At 46.1% G+C, this 17,075-nt stretch overlaps 1 protein-coding gene across 2 annotated transcripts in view, besides 6 other annotated features; it reads right to left on the bottom strand.

Annotated features, from left to right (window-relative positions):
- The window catches only part of IL19 (interleukin 19), a 72,209-nt gene that overhangs the window by 48,462 nt on the left and 6,672 nt on the right, over positions 1-17,075 (bottom strand). The gene's annotated exons all lie outside the window — the stretch shown is intronic.
- Positions 834-1,334: a transcriptional cis regulatory region, noted in NCBI's record as "chr1:206966531-206967031 region (GRCh37/hg19 assembly coordinates) targeted for CRISPR interference". NCBI's record gives its function as "positively regulates IL10 gene expression in BJAB lymphoma cells {active_cell/tissue: BJAB}" and the evidence as "EXISTENCE:mutant phenotype evidence [ECO:0000015][PMID:33828297]".
- Positions 834-1,337: a biological region, named in NCBI's record as "CRISPRi-FlowFISH-validated IL10 regulatory elements GRCh37_chr1:206966528-206967028 and GRCh37_chr1:206966531-206967031". NCBI's record gives its function as "regulatory_interactions: IL10".
- Positions 837-1,337: a transcriptional cis regulatory region, noted in NCBI's record as "chr1:206966528-206967028 region (GRCh37/hg19 assembly coordinates) targeted for CRISPR interference". NCBI's record gives its function as "positively regulates IL10 gene expression in anti-CD40- and anti-IgM-stimulated BJAB lymphoma cells {active_cell/tissue: BJAB(+anti-IgM and anti-CD40 for 4hr)}" and the evidence as "EXISTENCE:mutant phenotype evidence [ECO:0000015][PMID:33828297]".
- Positions 3,020-3,139: an enhancer, noted in NCBI's record as "active region_2422". NCBI's record gives its function as "activates an Ori minimal core promoter by ATAC-STARR-seq in GM12878 lymphoblastoid cells {active_cell/tissue: GM12878}" and the evidence as "EXISTENCE:reporter gene assay evidence [ECO:0000049][PMID:35858748]".
- Positions 3,323-3,422: an enhancer, noted in NCBI's record as "active region_2421". NCBI's record gives its function as "activates an Ori minimal core promoter by ATAC-STARR-seq in GM12878 lymphoblastoid cells {active_cell/tissue: GM12878}" and the evidence as "EXISTENCE:reporter gene assay evidence [ECO:0000049][PMID:35858748]".
- Positions 10,117-10,176: an enhancer, noted in NCBI's record as "active region_2420". NCBI's record gives its function as "activates an Ori minimal core promoter by ATAC-STARR-seq in GM12878 lymphoblastoid cells {active_cell/tissue: GM12878}" and the evidence as "EXISTENCE:reporter gene assay evidence [ECO:0000049][PMID:35858748]".

Raw genomic sequence — 17,075 nt, 5'->3', positions numbered from 1 at the left:
ACCATAGTATAAGAGCTCAGAGAGGGGGTGTCGACGTGAGCTGGAACAGTGGGAAGAGGCTTCACAAAGGAGGGACACGGGGTCATGGGAATCAGTGAATGTGTGGGAGGCAGGGCAGGAGTCATGGAACAGGTGACAGACAATGAAGTGTAAGATGTGACGGACCGTAGACAGAAATAGAGTGAAATAAACCACCACGCATTGAGTGCCTACTGTATGCCGTGCCAGGAACTTTCCATCTGTTATTTCATTTTATCCTCCCAATAAGAGCAGCAGTATCTTTATTTCCAAGTTGCAGGTGGGGAAACTGAAAGGTTCATATGAATTTAGAGTTGTTCTGGTGGCCAATGAGAAGTCTCTCCCAATGACCAAACTGGGGAATAACTTGAAGGTGATGGTGATGAAATGAGATTGGCCTGGCCATGGTGTCCAAGGTACTAGAGAACATTGCCCATCCACCACCTGAAGAGCCATGACCCAGGAGTCCCTAGATGTCTTTGGAACATTAAGTGGTGGTCTCTAACTTAGGGATCTGCCCTCTTGACTCAGGTGCTGTAACGCTAGCCTTAGCCCAGGCTTCCACCCACACCTCCCTGTCCCCACTCTCCTTCCCCTGCTACTCAGCCCCTCTTTCTTGTCAACAGGCACACTCCTCCCTAGCCCTTCGACCAGATGATGCCATTAATCACTACCAACAGTTAAGGAAGCCACCGAGGTGTTATCATAACAAGCACTCGAACTATGACTGTGACTAATCGAGTGGCGTTAGAGGTTCAGAAAGCATTAATAATTATTATAATTATTTTTTTCTGCCTCGTGTTTTTTTCTGTTGTTTGAGGTTCCAGGCATAAAATGGAGGGTGAAAGGAAGGCCCAACCTTTCTGGACTTGAGAGGATGTGCCATTTTGTTCAGCCTCCCAACCAGCCTTGCAGTGGGCAAGGGGATTGCCTGCTGCAGCCTCTTTGACTCTCCGAGCAGCACCTTGACAGAGGTCTGAGCGATGCAGGGTGAGTCAGGCCGGCTGGGGGAATCGGAGGCATTCGATCAGAGCACGACTGCCAGGCCGCACAGTCGGGGAATCCCTCAAGGGAACCAGGGGCCCATGCTGACCAAATCCAGCCCGTAGGAAAGCCCTGTCTTGCTACATGACCCCTGATTCATGGCTTTCCCCTCCTGGGGCCCAGCTCACGTGCTGCCCCTAAAGCAGCCATCACCAGCTGCCTTACATTATTTTTAAAACTGTTACCCCCAAAGTCCTCAGAGAACCAGCTCCCTGAGATGAAGAGACTGAAATGTCAGAAGCTATAAAAGTCATCGGCAGAAGTCCCCGTCGGGATTTAGCTCCAGGTATAAACCTCTGAGGATGGGGCTGACCAACCCTGAGGATTGTCAGTGGCTTGCGTGGGTGTCCCACAAGCGCATTCATGCACTCAGATGCAAATCCTTCTAACTCTAATGGATCCTGAAAGCCCTTCATTCCACAGTCATTAAAATGCAAACCATTCTTGGGGCAAGGGAACTAATATTTATTGTGGTACCTTTGTGCCAGGCACCACGAAGTACTTCATTTCAGCTAATTATATGCCAATTAGTTCCCCATAGCTCTGTTAAGGGACAGCAGAGTGTGGCCTCTGCAGCCACACTGCCCAGGATTCAATCCTGGTTCTGACACTTATCAGCTGTGTAGGCTTGGATTGGGCACATTACCTCTCTGAACTCAGATTCCTCACCTATAAGATGGGCTTAAGAGAGGTACATACATCTAGCCAGGCATAGTGGCTCACTTCCGTAATCCCAGCACTTTAGGAGGCTGAGGCGGGTGGATCATGAGGTCAGGAGATCGAGACCATCCTGGCCAACATGGTGAAACCCTGTCTCTACTAAAAATACAAAAATTAGCTGGGCGTGGTGGCATGCACCTCTAATCCCAGCTACTCGGGAGGCTGAGGCAGGAGAATCACTTGAACCCAGGAAGCGGAGTTTGCAGTGAGCCAAGATCATGCAATTCCACCCCAGCATGTGCGACAGAGCAAGACTCCATCTCAGAAAAAAAAAGGCGGGGTGGGGGGATTGTGAATGTACTAAACCACAAAGGGTCAATCAGAGCATCATGTTTTTGTCATTACACAATTTTTTCTAGGGTGGCCCTGTCAGGGAGCATCCATCACTGCTCATAAATACAGCCTTTAATGGAGGGGCAGAGGGGTATGAGGCCGTGCCAGGTTGGGAAAGGGAAGAAAAAGATGGTTAAGGAATTTAGGTCTGCCCCTGACTCAGGAACACTCAGCAATGTTCACTCAGGAAGTGGGTGGGCAGTTGGTTTGCTTGTATACTATTTCCAGGGTGGAATTTTTATGCTGTTCCCCAGGCTTTCTCAGAATCTTGGAACCAAGAGAAGGCATCTCAGACTCAGCCTTCAGAAGCCACAAATATTACCAGGATGGGGCAATTCCAGAGAAGTGGGCATCTGCCCGTGAGTGGCACTGCCCATCTTAAATGTTGGGAAAGGCAGAAGAGATGATAAATCCAACCAGCCTGGGAAGACCCAGGGCCTCCCCACCCACAGTTAAATGCACACACACACACACATGCACAGGACCAGGAACATTCCAATTTACTTAGACACCCTGTCTGGGATATTACCAGTGAAAACTACAAGTCTTTTTCTGGGATGGTGAGAGGTGCAGTTACAACCTATTTTTAAAAGTGTTCAGTTGGCCAGTTACCTTTAAGAAAACGGGGCTTTTACAGGGGGAGGAGAAAGGAGCCTCTGATGAGGGTGAAGTTTTGGTGAAGGAAACCACACTGAGGCTTTGAAAGCCAAAACGCTAGTGAGAGGCCACTGGGGCTGGGCATGGGGCACAGGAAGCTTTGGGACTGAGCACAGTGTGCAGACAGCCAAAGTCAAAACATAGGGACTGGGCATGGTGGCTCATGCCTGTAATCCCAGCACTTTGGGAGGCCAAGGCGGGCAGATCACTTGAGGCCAGGAGTTCGAGACCAGCCTGGCCAACATGGTGAAACCCCATCTCTACTAAAAATACAAAAATTAGCTGGGCATGATGGCCGGCGCCTGTGATCCCAGCTTCTCAGGAGGCTGAGGCAGAAGAACCGCTTGAACCCAGGAGGTGGAGGTTGCAGTGAGCCAAGATCATGCCATTGTACTCCAGCCTGGTCAACAAGACCGAAACTCCATCTAAAAAAAAAAAAAAAAAAACCTAAGGACCTCCTGGTCATACCCAGCAGCAGAGCTGCTGGGAATTTGCCCAGCTCCATCCTGATAATGAACAAATGACTTTCCAATTAGTCCTCTCTGTCTAACTCTACAGTTGTCCCTTGAAACAATCTCTTTCTTACCAAGAAGGAAAAGGAAAAGTTCACTCTGGCATTCTGACTGGTATCTGTTTATTGGTGGATACAACATACACGGTCCATCTTCGTATCTTGATCAGCAAATGAGGTGGTAAAACTGACCAGATGTGGGAAAGCCCCTCTGCCTAGAAATGCCTTACACACACAGGCACCACACAACAGAGAATAACTTAGCAAAAAAGAATGAAGAAAGATATCAAAGGTCATCTATCATGTCATCCTCAACTTTCTGGAATCTGTGCTAAAAGAAACCCCTATGGAATTGAGGCTCTTGCCTGCGTCCTGCCTGCACTGCCTTAGGTTGAGGCATGTGCTAAGCAGATTCTGGAGATGGTGAAAACCCTAACAACTTTCCAGCACCTCTAACTGCTTCTGCCTCCGCTAATCTGGTCCTGGGCAGTGGGGGGCAATGGGGGAAGGGGATGAGGTGTCAGAGGCCCGGACAAGTTCGTAAACCCCCAGACACCTGCCAGAGCCTTAAACTTGCGTCAGAGTCTGTCTCCACCAAAATGAAAGAAACCAAGAGTGCCACAACCAAATCACAGTAGCCGGAGTGGAAAATATAGCTCTGACACAGGCCGTTGGCTCTGGGGAAAATTCTGCCGATGAACCATACTGAGACTCAACGTTGTTTATCTTCTATAGTTGCCGAGCTTGGGTTTTTACATTTTACATTTTTTCCCTCTTTTTCTACCTGGGAGGTGCTGGGTATTTTCCTTCCCCTGCAGTAGACGGGGAAGGAATGACCATAAGCAGGCCACAATCAGAGACAGAAACAGAACGTGCCATGGGGCTCAGTTTTTTTTCTGGGATACTGAGAGGATGGCACAATGAGAGGACCGTGCCCTGATGACATTTTTCAGCCTTTTAAAAATTATTGGAAGAACCACAATGAGATACCACCTTACCCCAGCCAGAAAGGCCATTATTAAAAAGTCAAGAAACAATAGATGCCGGTGTGGAAGTGGTGAAAAGGGAACGCTTATACACTGCTGGTAGGAATGTATATTAGTACAACCTTTATGGAAAAGAGTATGGAGATTTTTCAAAAAACTAAAAGCACATTTACCACTCAATCCTGCAATCCCACTACTGGGTATCTACTTAAAGGAAAAGAAGTCACTATATATATCAAAAAGACAACTAACTGCACATATATGTTTACTGCAGCACAATTCACAATTGGAAAGATATGGAACTAACCTAAGTGTCCACCAACAAATTAGTGAAAAAAGAATGAGATCATATCCTTTGCAGGGACATGAAAGGAGCTGAAGGCCATTATCCTTAGCAAACTAACACAGGAACAGAAAACCAAATGCCACATGTTCTCACTTGTAAGTCGGAGCTCATTGATGAGAACACATGGACACATAGAGGGGAACAACATACACTGGGCCTATTGGAGGGTGGGAGGAGGGAAAGGATCAGGAAAAATAATTAATGGGTACTAGGCTTAATACCCATTAGTTATTAGTAAGACAACAAACCCCCATGACACAAGGTTACCTATGTAACAAACCTGCACATGCATCCCGAGCTTAAAAGTCGAAAAAAACTACTGAAACATAAAAAAAGAAAATATGGCATATATACACCATGGAGTACCACTCAGCCATAAAAAAGTATAAAATAATGTCCTTTGCAGCAACTTGGATGGAACTGGAGGCCATTATTCTAGGTGATATAACTCAGGAATCAAAAACCAAACACCCATGTTCTCACTTACAAGTGGGAGCTAAGCTATGGATTCACAAAGGCATAAGGGGTGGTATAATGGTCACTGGATCCTCAGAAGGGCAGGGGATAAGGGATTTAAAATTACCTGTTGGGTACAATGTTTAGTAGTTTCCAAAAAGGGAACTTCAGTGAGAAGGTTCCATAGTGTCTAATGACCCTAATGGTCAGAGCATCTTCTTCAGTTCAACAAAGATCTCTCGTACTGTACTATAAGCCCAGAGCAACCTTCATGGAATGCCAGGACTTCAGATCATCAAATCACTTTCCAGTCAGTCCTCTCTATCTAACCCTACAGCTGTTCCTTGAAACAATCTCTTTCTTTCCAAGGCGGAAAAGGAAAAGGTCACTCTAGCATTCTGACTGGTATCTGATTATTGGTGGAAACAACAGACACTGTCCATCTTTTATATCTTGATCAGCAGATGAGATGGTAAAACTGACCAGACCCAGGAAAGCTCCTCTGCCTAGAAATGCCTTACACACACAGGCACCACACAACAGAGAATAACTTAGCAAAAAGGAATGAAGAAAGATATCAAGGGTCATCTATCATGTCATCCTCAACTTTCTGGAATCTGTGCTAAGAGAAACCGCTATGGAATCAAGGCTCTTGCCTCCATCCTGCCTGCACTGCCTTAGGTTGAGACATGTGCTAAGCAGATTCTGGAGATGGTGAAAACCCTAATGCTTTTCTAGCACCTCCAACTGCTTCTGCCTCAACTAATCTGGTCCTGGGGCAGTGAGGGGCAATGAGGGAAGGGGATGAGGTGTCAGAGGCCTGGATGAGGCGCACTAAAATCCTAGATTTCACCACTGTACAGTTCATCCATGTAACCAAAAATCACTTGTACCTCTAAAGCTCTTGAGATAAAAAAAAAAAGTTAATTATTAGCGTCACATTATTTGTCTCTGCATGGAGATATGGGTAAAGGAATGAACTGATTATCAGGAGACTTGAGCCTTATTTTGCGCTACTATAAAATAGATTCAATGATTGGATCAAATCTTTAGATTGTTGTAAAACTTAAAATGAAACAATATGAAGTGTCTTGTATATAGTAAGACATCAAAGAGCAATAGGGGAAACCAACTAAGACAGGTAGTAGTTTGCCATTGGCCTTGCTTGGGGTCTAGGGCTTGGGTCAGGACATGTCTTAGTCTATAGCATATGGTGGGCACACAGTATACAGTATCAGATAGCTGGCATCAGTTAGTCATAGAACAGCTGCAAAGAGTCACACACGCACACACATGTGAGCACACTCACACAACAGATAAGATTGCTCAAGCCACCTCCGGGATCGTGAAGATGAATAAGAGGTCTGCAGACCAGTGTGTTTCCCCAACCATGTCACAAGGAAGGAAGGTCCACAGGGTCCCCAGGAACTCTGGGCAGAGGGGGATTTTAGAAGGAAGCTTGCTGAAAAACACGGATTCCCATGGCTATGAATGTGGCTGGTGGAAAGGAAAGCGAGACCTGATGGGGCTGCACCACATGGTGCAGTGGAAAGGATAACGCAGCCCAGGAAAAGATTGTGTAGCTTGGTGGTATGTGGCATGGCTGGAGAGGAGAAACTCCTGGATCCTAGTCCTACTGCTGGTTCTGAGAAAAGCCACCAGAGCCTCCCTTCTTGAGTCAAAGACAAGACCACAGAGGGGCTCTTTCATGTATTTAGCTATTTTATGGCTTTAAAGTATTTCAACCTATTGACAAATCTCTTTGATCCTCTGTAAAGCAGGAGAAAGAACTGAGGAGTCTCTCCATTTCACAGAGACAGAAATCAAGACTCATTGAAGGTGGAAGACATCTCCACAGTCACACAGAAGAAAGACCGAAACCCAGGCCTCCTTTTCCCGGACCTAGGTCTTTACCATTTGAGAATCGTAAACCTGTGCCTTAGTCAAAATGAGCAAAATATTCACACCAAGCTAGACTGCATCTCCTCTCTATCTCTGGCATATATAAAACATGTGTCCAGTCCACAGGGATGAAATACACACAATACACCCACACATATGCATATGTGCACACATGCATCCATGCAGGCAAAGACATCTCACAACTCTAAGGCAGGGTACACAAAGTACTGCCAAGGATGGTCATAAGCACTGGAGGATTTTTTTAAAAATGAAATCTCAGTGGAGTCAGGTTGTTAAAGGAAGGCTCATGGAAGAGGCAGTGCTGAATTGAAAGAATTCTGTTGGTGAAAAGGAAGGGTGGTCATTGCAGGCCAGTGAAGCCATGAGTGGAAGTAAGGACGTGGGAGAGCACAGGGCATATTCTGACAATAGTGAGAGCCCCCGTGTTTTGGTCAGAGATCTTGTGGAGAGAACCTGTGGGAAGGAAAGCTGTGAAGGCATTTGGGAGTGCAAATGTCAAGCTAGGTTGGGCTGTGTTCTGAAAGCCCTGGGCTTTGTGAGAGTGGAGTTTTGCTGATAAAATGAGTGCTTTGAAAAGTGAACCTGGCTTGGTGGTTTGGAAAAACTAAGACTTTAAGAATGCGTTCTGTTCTCCGGTGGCTTGGGGGCTGGAGAGCAGAATTTAACATGTTAATTTGTTGTTCTCAGAATGTTGATGGCAGTAACTACAGCTGAATAAACCTCCATGTGGCCTTTAGCTCAGCTAGGCTGGGAAGTACTGGGGAGAAGGGTGAGGTCAATATGAAGAGCTCAGCATCCCTTGCACCATTTCCACAGGCCCGCACCTTGGTTACAGTGGCAATAGCAGCCTCAACCTCAATTTTCCCACCACTGCAGCCAATAGAGAAGCAAGTTCTGGCTCAACGTGGGCTGCTGCAACTCAGTCTCTCCTCCTCCCCTCCTGTTTACTCTAAAGCCCTCTGATTTTACCTGAAATGAAACAGCAGCCCCAGCTATGGTCACAGTGACCAGAAGCTCCTGCTTCCCACTCCACCAAGAACCTTGCCTTGTAGTCCCCAGCCAACCCTCACTCACACAGAAAGGACTGTGGGGACACTAACTCTCCCTCCACTTGCACCAATCTTTGGATGTTCAGTCATTTCAGGAAGCCCAGAAGAGAAAGAGAAATTGTGGTGATATCAACAGTCATAGCTGTCGTGATAGTACTGGCCGTAGTAGCTGTAGTAGTCTCAGTACAGTTACAGTCATTGCAGAGTAAGCAATGGCTTGTCAGGTAAAAGTCATTGAGTGCTTGCTATAAACCGTGCACTATGACAAGCATTTTTCCCATTTTTTTCTCATAGCCAGCAGGTAAGTATCATTATGTTTTCCATCTTACAGATATGATAGGGTATCTTTGGTAAAGATGTACATGGGATTCTGGATTCCAATGGCAGAGCTTTGGTGAGGCCAGCTTGCTCATGATACCCTCTAAGGATGTCCTATATCCCTCCCCTTTCACTTCCCCACCCCAAGTCCCCGTCACCACCCCTCCCTAACACACAGTTTACATCCTGTGACCCCTTTGACCAGATATATGTTTATACACTTCGGTGCAGGTAGCTTTCCAATTTTGTACAGATGTCTGTAAGTCACTTTTTTGGAAACTGGAGCAACATCTCTGTAGAAACTCTACTTATAAATGTTGATTCATTCACAGCCTACAAAGCAGGGGTTACACTATAAATAGGACCAAACTTAGTTCAGGTTCTTGGGAGCTGGGGGTCTATGAGATTTACAAAGGACAGCTTCTTTCTCCTACTGGACATATGAACAGCCTCAGGCAACATCTGAAATAGTCGAGGTCGTCTTGGGTCAACTTCTGTCACACTCTGCTCCCTCTCCCTGGCTGCCCTCTCTGGAGGTCCCTCTGCACTTTCCCCTCTGAGGGGCTGTAAGCCCTCCATTGAAATGCTAACCTTCTGCTCTGCTTAACCACATGCTCCCAGATGACCTACTCTCCTCCCCACCTGTCCCAGCTCACAGATCAGCCCCACAGGAACTCAGCTTCCAGGATTAGAACCACCCAGGGATTTCAGTGTTATTTTCATGGCTTCTTTCCCACCACTGTATTTGACCTCCTGACTCTCTAGAAGTTGCTGGTGATTTCGTAAAGGATTTCTCACAAGCACGGTTAAGGAAGTGCCAATGGTTGCCACTCAAGTCCATAGAAAACAGGCACTTCTAAATTGGGGGTGGTGTATGTGTTCTTTTGCATTATATATATGTTTGTGTTCCATGGGTCTTCAGTCTACCTGAAGTCTACCTGCATGGACCCTCCTTCAAGGATCCAAGAATCTGCTGATCCAGAGCCTGCATGACCCGAGTATTCATCCACAGTGGTTTTCACAGGGGTCAGATATCCTGTTTCTAGCACTGGCCATTCCTCCCTGCCTGCTCGCCTTTTCCCATGGGATACAATGGAGGCATTGGGGGACTTTAATACTTCAAAGCCCGTAGCAGCTGGCAACTCCTGGGACTGAACCAGCACCCAGACTGGCCTCACTGTGCTCTGCCACGGGAATCCAGGATCCCATGGTCACCTCTCTCAAGGGAATTTATTATCTGAGTCCCACGTCAGGAGCCAAGTACACCAACAACACTTCCTCCTCGGCATAGGCCTGCGTCGCGCAGGCATCAACGCAACACAGACATTTTACTGCGTGGTGCAGATAATTGCTTGAGAACGCAAAGTTCTTTCTGAAAGAGATGTGAAGCGCTTTCTAGGGCTTTCCAGTAATCTTCTTTTCTCCCTGAAACAGTCAATGTGAGAAATCCACTTCCGGAAGGTGACCACCTCCCTTCCACACCCCCGCCGCCCCCGGGGCCATGCTCTTGAGGAAAAGGCAGCATCACGTCCTCCCCTACCAAGTGGAGGCTCTTCTGATTTCCACTGCTCTCAGCAGGCCTGACTCACAACGAAACTGCAACCTCAAAGTGCTGGGGGCCAGGATTGCGAGAAGGAAATACAGGTGAACACACGCAAAAGCTGCCGGAGGAAAAGGTTTTGTTTCTCTTACAGAATGGCACTTCCAGGGCTGGGCAGAAGCTATGAGCTAGAAGAGGCTGACAGGGCCTGGTCTTGTGCTGACCTGGTGGATTTGGAAAGGAAGGAAAATATGTATCAGAACCACTCATGTTCGCTCGCTCCTGCCGAGGGGAACAGAAGGGGCAGGCTGGGAGGAGAGATAGGGGAATCACAAAATTTAAGGGCATTAGCTTTGGAAATCTTCTTAGAAAAACAACTCTGGCAAGCCCTTGGATTATTGATGCGGAAAGCAAGGCCAAGGGATGAAAAGGAACTTGTTTGGGATCTCATAGTAGAAGGTCCAGGGCTGGAAACTAGGCCTCCTAAATGCCTGAGCCAGTCAGTCTTTCTACTATGAGACTGACTTCTCTGTCTCCCTGTAACATCCTCAGAATATTGGAGTTGAAATTGGTCTGTTCCAAGTCTTCAGATCCACGAAGAGACATACTTAGCTTTTAGCAGCTGAGTATTCCCAAGGAAAAACATCAACCACTACACTTCAGGTGGGCTGGCTACTTGCTGTATGTCAAGTATTCATCCAAGCATTGTGTACAGTCACTCATTCCGCCCTTGCAACACTACGACAGCACCAATTATCATCTCCAATTGTATATAGATACTGCCGCACAGGGAGGCTCAGAAACTTGCCCAAGGTCACACAGATGGGAAAGGGCAGAGCTGGGTTGCAAACCCAGTCCGACTCCAGGGCCCGCACACTTAACCACCATGCTCTGCTGCAAAGACAAGCCCAAAGACAGAGCACATCTTGGGGTTTCCAATAACAGAACACTTGGACCCAGGGTAGGGCTGGGGGTTGAGCAAAGTGGGGAAGGCACTTCCAGCCTTTGCTGTCAGAGGTATATAAGGTCTGCCACATAAGAGAGGCTCAAGTGCACAACCCTTAGCCGCTTTCGTGAAACCAGTTGACTACCTGATACCAATTTATATCCAACCCACTGCTTGAGGCACCTGAATTCAAGGTTCTTGCTGGGAACAGTCTCAGATCACCCAAAAGCCAAGGTACAAACAGATTCTCCTTAATTACTTGAAAGAATAATACTGTTTAGAAAGTATTCCTTGTATTTTAAGTATTTTAATCTTAAAAAGAATACTTTTAAAATCATCAAAAGAGTATCAGAACCTTGTTGGGCCTCCTTAAACTATTTTGAACTACATCTGAAGGTCGAGACAACTTAGGGCCTCTGGAGTTCTTAGTCCAGCACCCTGGGAAAAGGAGTTTCTTTTTCCCCTCCTTCTATAGATGGTCTCCCACAATCAGGTGGGCAACCAGGGATTGAGCTTTAATATGACCACACAATGTCTGACCCAGTTCCTAAAAGGGTGCCCTCCTTATAAAATGATTTCTAAGTTCACCAGAGCACTTAGAGCTCACCTACTGTGTGTGCCAGGCAAATCTGCATGGGATGAGACGAGAATGGCAAGCCAATGATATTGATTTAATTGGACAAATTCTGGCCAGTGGGGCTAGGAAATGTCTGTTTTTATTTTCAATGTTGTTCTAAAAACTGAGAAAGCACAAGAGTTACCAAAGACTAAGCAGGGTTTTTAATGCCCCTTAGAATTAAAGAGGAGGGAGAGAGGAGAATAAAAGGCAGAAGAAGAAAGCAGAGCCCAAAATAAGCCTGCAGTAGAGCCTGTCCAACAGCTCTGTGCCCCTTGACCACACCCAGCCTCTAGAACCTAGTCCTAGGCCTGGGGCCCCTTGGAGAAGGGGTTTACAGTAATGACAGGTCACTGGCAAATCAACCCCAGAACTCCCATGGGTTTTGACTTGAAACCACAAACACCGCTTGTGAGGCACTGTAGCTTCCGTGACATGTGAGAGGCTCACAGGAGCTGCTAAACTGAAAGACCACCCTGGCTATTTGGAAACTCTGAATAAAGAATACAGCAGTAGGCTTCTCCCTTGTCTACCCAAGCCAGGTGCCCTTTGGGTACATCCTCTGCACCTGCCTCTGAGGCCACACTTTGATCATTCTCCTCCTACTTGTCCTCACCCAGAGATTTCTGTGAAACACTTACAGCATTCATTCTCTAAGGGTGGTCTGAGAAACCCTGAGAGGTCTTCCCTTTTCCAGGGGAAAATTCTTATGCTCCAACTAAAACGGCATATTACAACAGACCGCATGTAAGAGCAGTTGTGAGGATCCTGCTTCTATCAAGCCAGAGAGTTAAAAATGCTTGGAAAAAAATGCAGAACACTGCCACTCTTCTCACTAAATGTGTTTTGGTTTGGAAAATAGTTACATCTCATTTAAAAATGCCATGTTAACATGTAAGGGTTTATTATTGTTTATGACTTTAAAAAGATGTCATAGGAGGTATTTTTAAAAATTTATCAGTTTTACTTTCTAATATGATAAATGTTTACACATATATGTATATATAACTATATACATATATATGTATATATAACTATATACATATATATGTATATATAACATATACATATATATGTATATATAACATATACATATATATGTATATATAACTATATACATATATATGTATATATAACTATATACATATATATGTATATATAACTATATACATATATATGTATATATAACTATATACATATATATGTATATATAACCCACATAAGTGAAAGCTCTTTGGGGGTCCTCTATAACTTTGAAGATGTAAAAGAGTCCTGGATCCACATAGTTCGCCAACAGCTGACTTAGGGAACCGGGGGCAAGGCTGGACGCAGTTGCTCGCACCCACTCCCTTTCCCTTCTCCCTTAGTCTATGAGCTAAGAGGGGCACATGTAAATGACAGTCATAGTGGAAGTAGCATGAATCCAGGGTGGGAGGAAGCAACTGCATCTTCATGTGTGATGCAGCTGTGCATCCAAAATGCACAAAACACACGGAGTATGGGGAGGATTGAGAGTCAGTGGCACGTTTTAGAGGTAAGGACCAGAATGGGCAGGATGATGTCCTTCTGAGCAAAGTGCTCAACTTCCTCCTCTCTCTCTTTTTTTTCTTTTTTTTTCTTTTTTTTTTTTTTTTTTTTTTTTGAGACAGAGTCTTGCTCTGTCGCCCAGGCTGGAGCACAGTGGCGCGATCTCTGCTCACTGCAGCCTCAGCCTCCCAGATTCAAGTGATTCTCCTGCCTCAGCCTCACCACGCCCAGCTAATTTTTGTATTTTTAGTAGAGACAGGGTTTCACCATGTTGGCCAGGCTGGTCTTGAACTACTGACCTAGTGATCCGCCCATCTCGGCCTCCCAAAGTGCTGGGATTACAGGCGTGAGCCACCGCGCCTGGCCCCTCTCCTCTCTTTTATAAGGTTTCTGGAAGGTGTTGCTCCTGTAGGGGTACTGCAGTGGGAAGGCAGGCCAAACTATGCTTTATAACACTGTGACACTCATGGATCAGAGACAAAATAGAAACACCATTCTGTCTGAAAACACTCCAAGGCAGAAATCTTCCCCTAAGACAAAAATATCTAAGCCACCCTCACTATCATTCCCAATTCCTAAACTTAAGGTACCCAAGGAGTACAAAATAGATTCATAACTGTTTAATGGATGGAAACTTATTGTCACAGACTTTCAACTTCTTACCACCACAACCTCACACACCGAACACATCTTAGACAGCTGCCCCTAATTGTTGCTGCAGGCCCAGAGAACCCAGAGTGATTTGATACTTACATGAGTAAAGGAATTAGGTACTGATCTGAAAAAGAATTGCATTCAGATTCTACCTTTGCCATTAACTACCTCTAGGACCTGGGAAAGTCTTCTTCTCTAGGCCTCTGTTTGCCCATTTATAAAAGAAGACACGTGAATTTGATAAGACCCCCTCTTCTTCTGACGTCCATATAGAATTTTAACATTCCAGCAGCCATGGAGGAGTTAACATCCGCCTGGAAGAGCACTAATTAGTAATCAGATCAATTCTTTTAAAAACTGGAAAAGCTATAATAGGTATAGGCATATAGTTTGTAAGGACAGTGGTTTCTTCAGATGAATCCATTCTCTACTTCTACTTTATAAGAGATGGAAGAACAGACATATAGCCATGTAGCACTACAAAAAGTTTAGGAAGCACATGCTCAGCCGCCCAGTCAGCCAACAAATATTTAGTGAGAACCTTGGATGTGCCCAGAACCATGCTGAGTACTGAGCAAACAACACTCATCAAAAACAGATACAGGCCCTGCCCTCGAAGTGGTCACAGTCTCACAGGAGAGACAGAGGTCAATCAAATGATCACATAGCCACATGTCTAATTACAAACTGACATAAATACTACAGAGGGGTGGGAGCAAGGTGTTCTGAGAAGATACACCCAGGGGGCCTGACCTAGACTGGGGAATGATGAACTCATTTAAGGAAGGAACATCTGAGCTGAGAGCTGAAGGATGAAGACAGGAGGAGAGCAGGAAGGGAGAACTAAATGTGCAAAGGCCCTGTGATAGGAGAGAGAGGGGATAAATCACTGGGCATAGTGGCTGGTGCAATGTAAGCCCAGCCACTTGGAGGCTGAGGCAAGAGGATTACTTGAGCCTAGGAGTTCAAAAACAGCCTGGGCAACATAGCAAGACCCTGTCTCTTTAAAAAAAAAAAAAGAGAGAGAGAGAGCATGCGGATCATTTGAAAAAAAAGAAGAAGAAAGTCAATGAGGCTGGAGTGCAGAGGGAAGTAGAAAGTGAAGAGTGCCGCAAGTTGAAGCAGAAGAGATAGGCAGTGTCAGATGATAAAGGAAGTTATAGAAAACATTAGAATATGAGTCCTTATTTGACCAAGAGAGGGAAAGTGGGAAGCCATGGAAGGGTTCAAGTAGCAACAGAGTCATGATCAGATTGGTGCTTGGAAATAATTACTCTTGCTACAACGTGGAGAACGGTCTAGAGAATGGATATTAGAATAACAATTTGGCATTTATTTTGGAGTCCAGGAGAGATGAGACAGTGTTGGGGTGATTAGACCCAACACTAGGCCATGGGGGCTACAAAGTCCAGCAGAGTCAAAGGAATGAGAAAAGACAAGTTAAGGGTGCATAAAATGGGTCCAGTGGGCCAACACTGGTATGGAGGCTGCAAAGGCCCTGAGCTCTGGGAGCCCACACTATTTATTGGTGATCAAACAAAGAAGCAGGTGGTGAGGACGTGGGGGTAAACAGGTGAGGGCGTGAGGATGTGGGGGTAGAAAGGTAGTGGTGCATCAAGCATAGCTGTGATGGTTTAGCATTTTCTTTGACACATATAGAATATGCTCTGCTGCTCAAGATAATGGAGAGCATGTTTACGAGCCTGGGAGAGCAACCAACAAGTCTGTGCACATTCCATCCAAGCCACGAGGGATTTTATGCCCTGGGCTTAGATTTGTGGTGCAGCAGGGCAGCCTTCTACCCTTTGGCACAGAGCTTGGTGTTCCAAAGGCCACGAGCGGTTTTAGACCCTGGACCCCGGACATCTCCCAAGACTCTTTTATATTATGACAGACAAGCCAGTCCTGCCTCAGCTCTTCTACCAACAGATAGTAGCTTGAACCAGACAGTCATTGCTGGTGATGATGGAAATGGAGACAAATCAGTAGATTAGAGAAATGTTTATGAAGAAAAATGTGGAGGTTCTGGTGATAGATTGAACATAGATTGGCAAGGAAGAGGGAGGGACCAACAAATCATTTCTAGAGTTAATTGATAGTTCCATTTACTGAGCGAGGGTGCACTGGATGAAGGTGAAACCAGAGAGAGATGATTTTACTCTCAGATACAGAATCAACTACATAAATTGGCAGGGGAAGACAGTACAAAATAAAAATGTGGAACCCCCTGCTCAACAGTTATTGAGAATTTCAAGATGGTGGTAGCAGAGTAAGGGGAGGACTTTTTTAGTCATGGGACCCTGTGTGACTGCAGAAGTCACTTATCTACAAACCCAGCCCTGCTTGGATATGTTGGGTTGGAGGTGCCAGCCATCCAGTGGAGACTGGAGCAAACTAAAGCGCACCAGAGGGACAGTCCTGGAGCTAAAAGAATCCATTTGTGCCCCACACTCAGGAGCCCACTAGTTATCCTAGGTAGTCATGCAGACAGAGCAGAAACAACTATGGTCCTCTGGGTGGCCAAGGCTCAAACACCTGGTGTCCTGGTCCCTGATAAGCCAAATTTCTCATATGAGAAGTTACAGAGCACAGTGTCCATCCCCTAAGGAAAATCCAAATTGCCTGATTTGGTGCCATAGTTGCACAAAGGGGAATTCCACATTGGCTGCCCAAAGATCAGCCCTTCCGCTCATCTGTGGTTTGCAGTGTCTGCCGGCCATGATCCTCGGAAGGGCGCTTAATCCGGTTTGCATAACCCTTGTTCCATTCCACCTAAGGGCCAGCCCCAGCCCGGGCTCCTCTTAAACTTCTGGCCCACCAGGCGTTTATTCTGAAGTACCCCAGACACTATCAAAGCCAATGTCAGGAAAGCCCAGAGGAATACAGTGCTCACAGACTCCTGTCTCCTTGCACCCCAAACTGGCCACACTTTGGGTGTGTGATAGGCATTGGGGTCTGTTGCAGCACAGCTTCTGAGGAAGCCTCTGTCCTAGGAGCTGAGGAAGCTTATTCGAGGGAATACTAGAAATTTCAAGCTGGCAAAGCTATTTTACACACTAAATGTCCTGGATAAGAAGAAATGAAACTCCCGTTATCAGCTTTAAAAAATAACTACTAATGGCAAATAGGAGTCAAGCCCGGAGGGGCTTCTTCATCAGGACAGTTGTCACCCATCCCCAAGATGGGCACGGTCTCACCTTCTCTGCCTGCATCGTCAACCTGCCTGCTCTCTGCCGGCTGACCGTGTTGCCCAACAAGCTGTCTAAACCCAGAGTCCAGCAAGCCCGGATCCCTGAACCTTCCCTCTGCAGCTCCAGAGCCACCCTCACAAGGCTGCTAGCCTGCTCCCCACTCTTGGGTTTGAGCTGCAGAATTGCAGTAAGGCATGGGGTAACTACACCAAGAAGGCTGCCATTTTGCTTAGCATGAGA

This window comes from Homo sapiens, chromosome 1 (assembly GCF_000001405.40).
Source record: "Homo sapiens chromosome 1, GRCh38.p14 Primary Assembly".
In the NCBI taxonomy this organism is placed as follows: domain Eukaryota; kingdom Metazoa; phylum Chordata; class Mammalia; order Primates; family Hominidae; genus Homo; species Homo sapiens.
The sequence above is the reverse complement of the archived record's forward strand: the minus strand, read 5'-3'. Positions and strand labels throughout refer to the sequence as shown.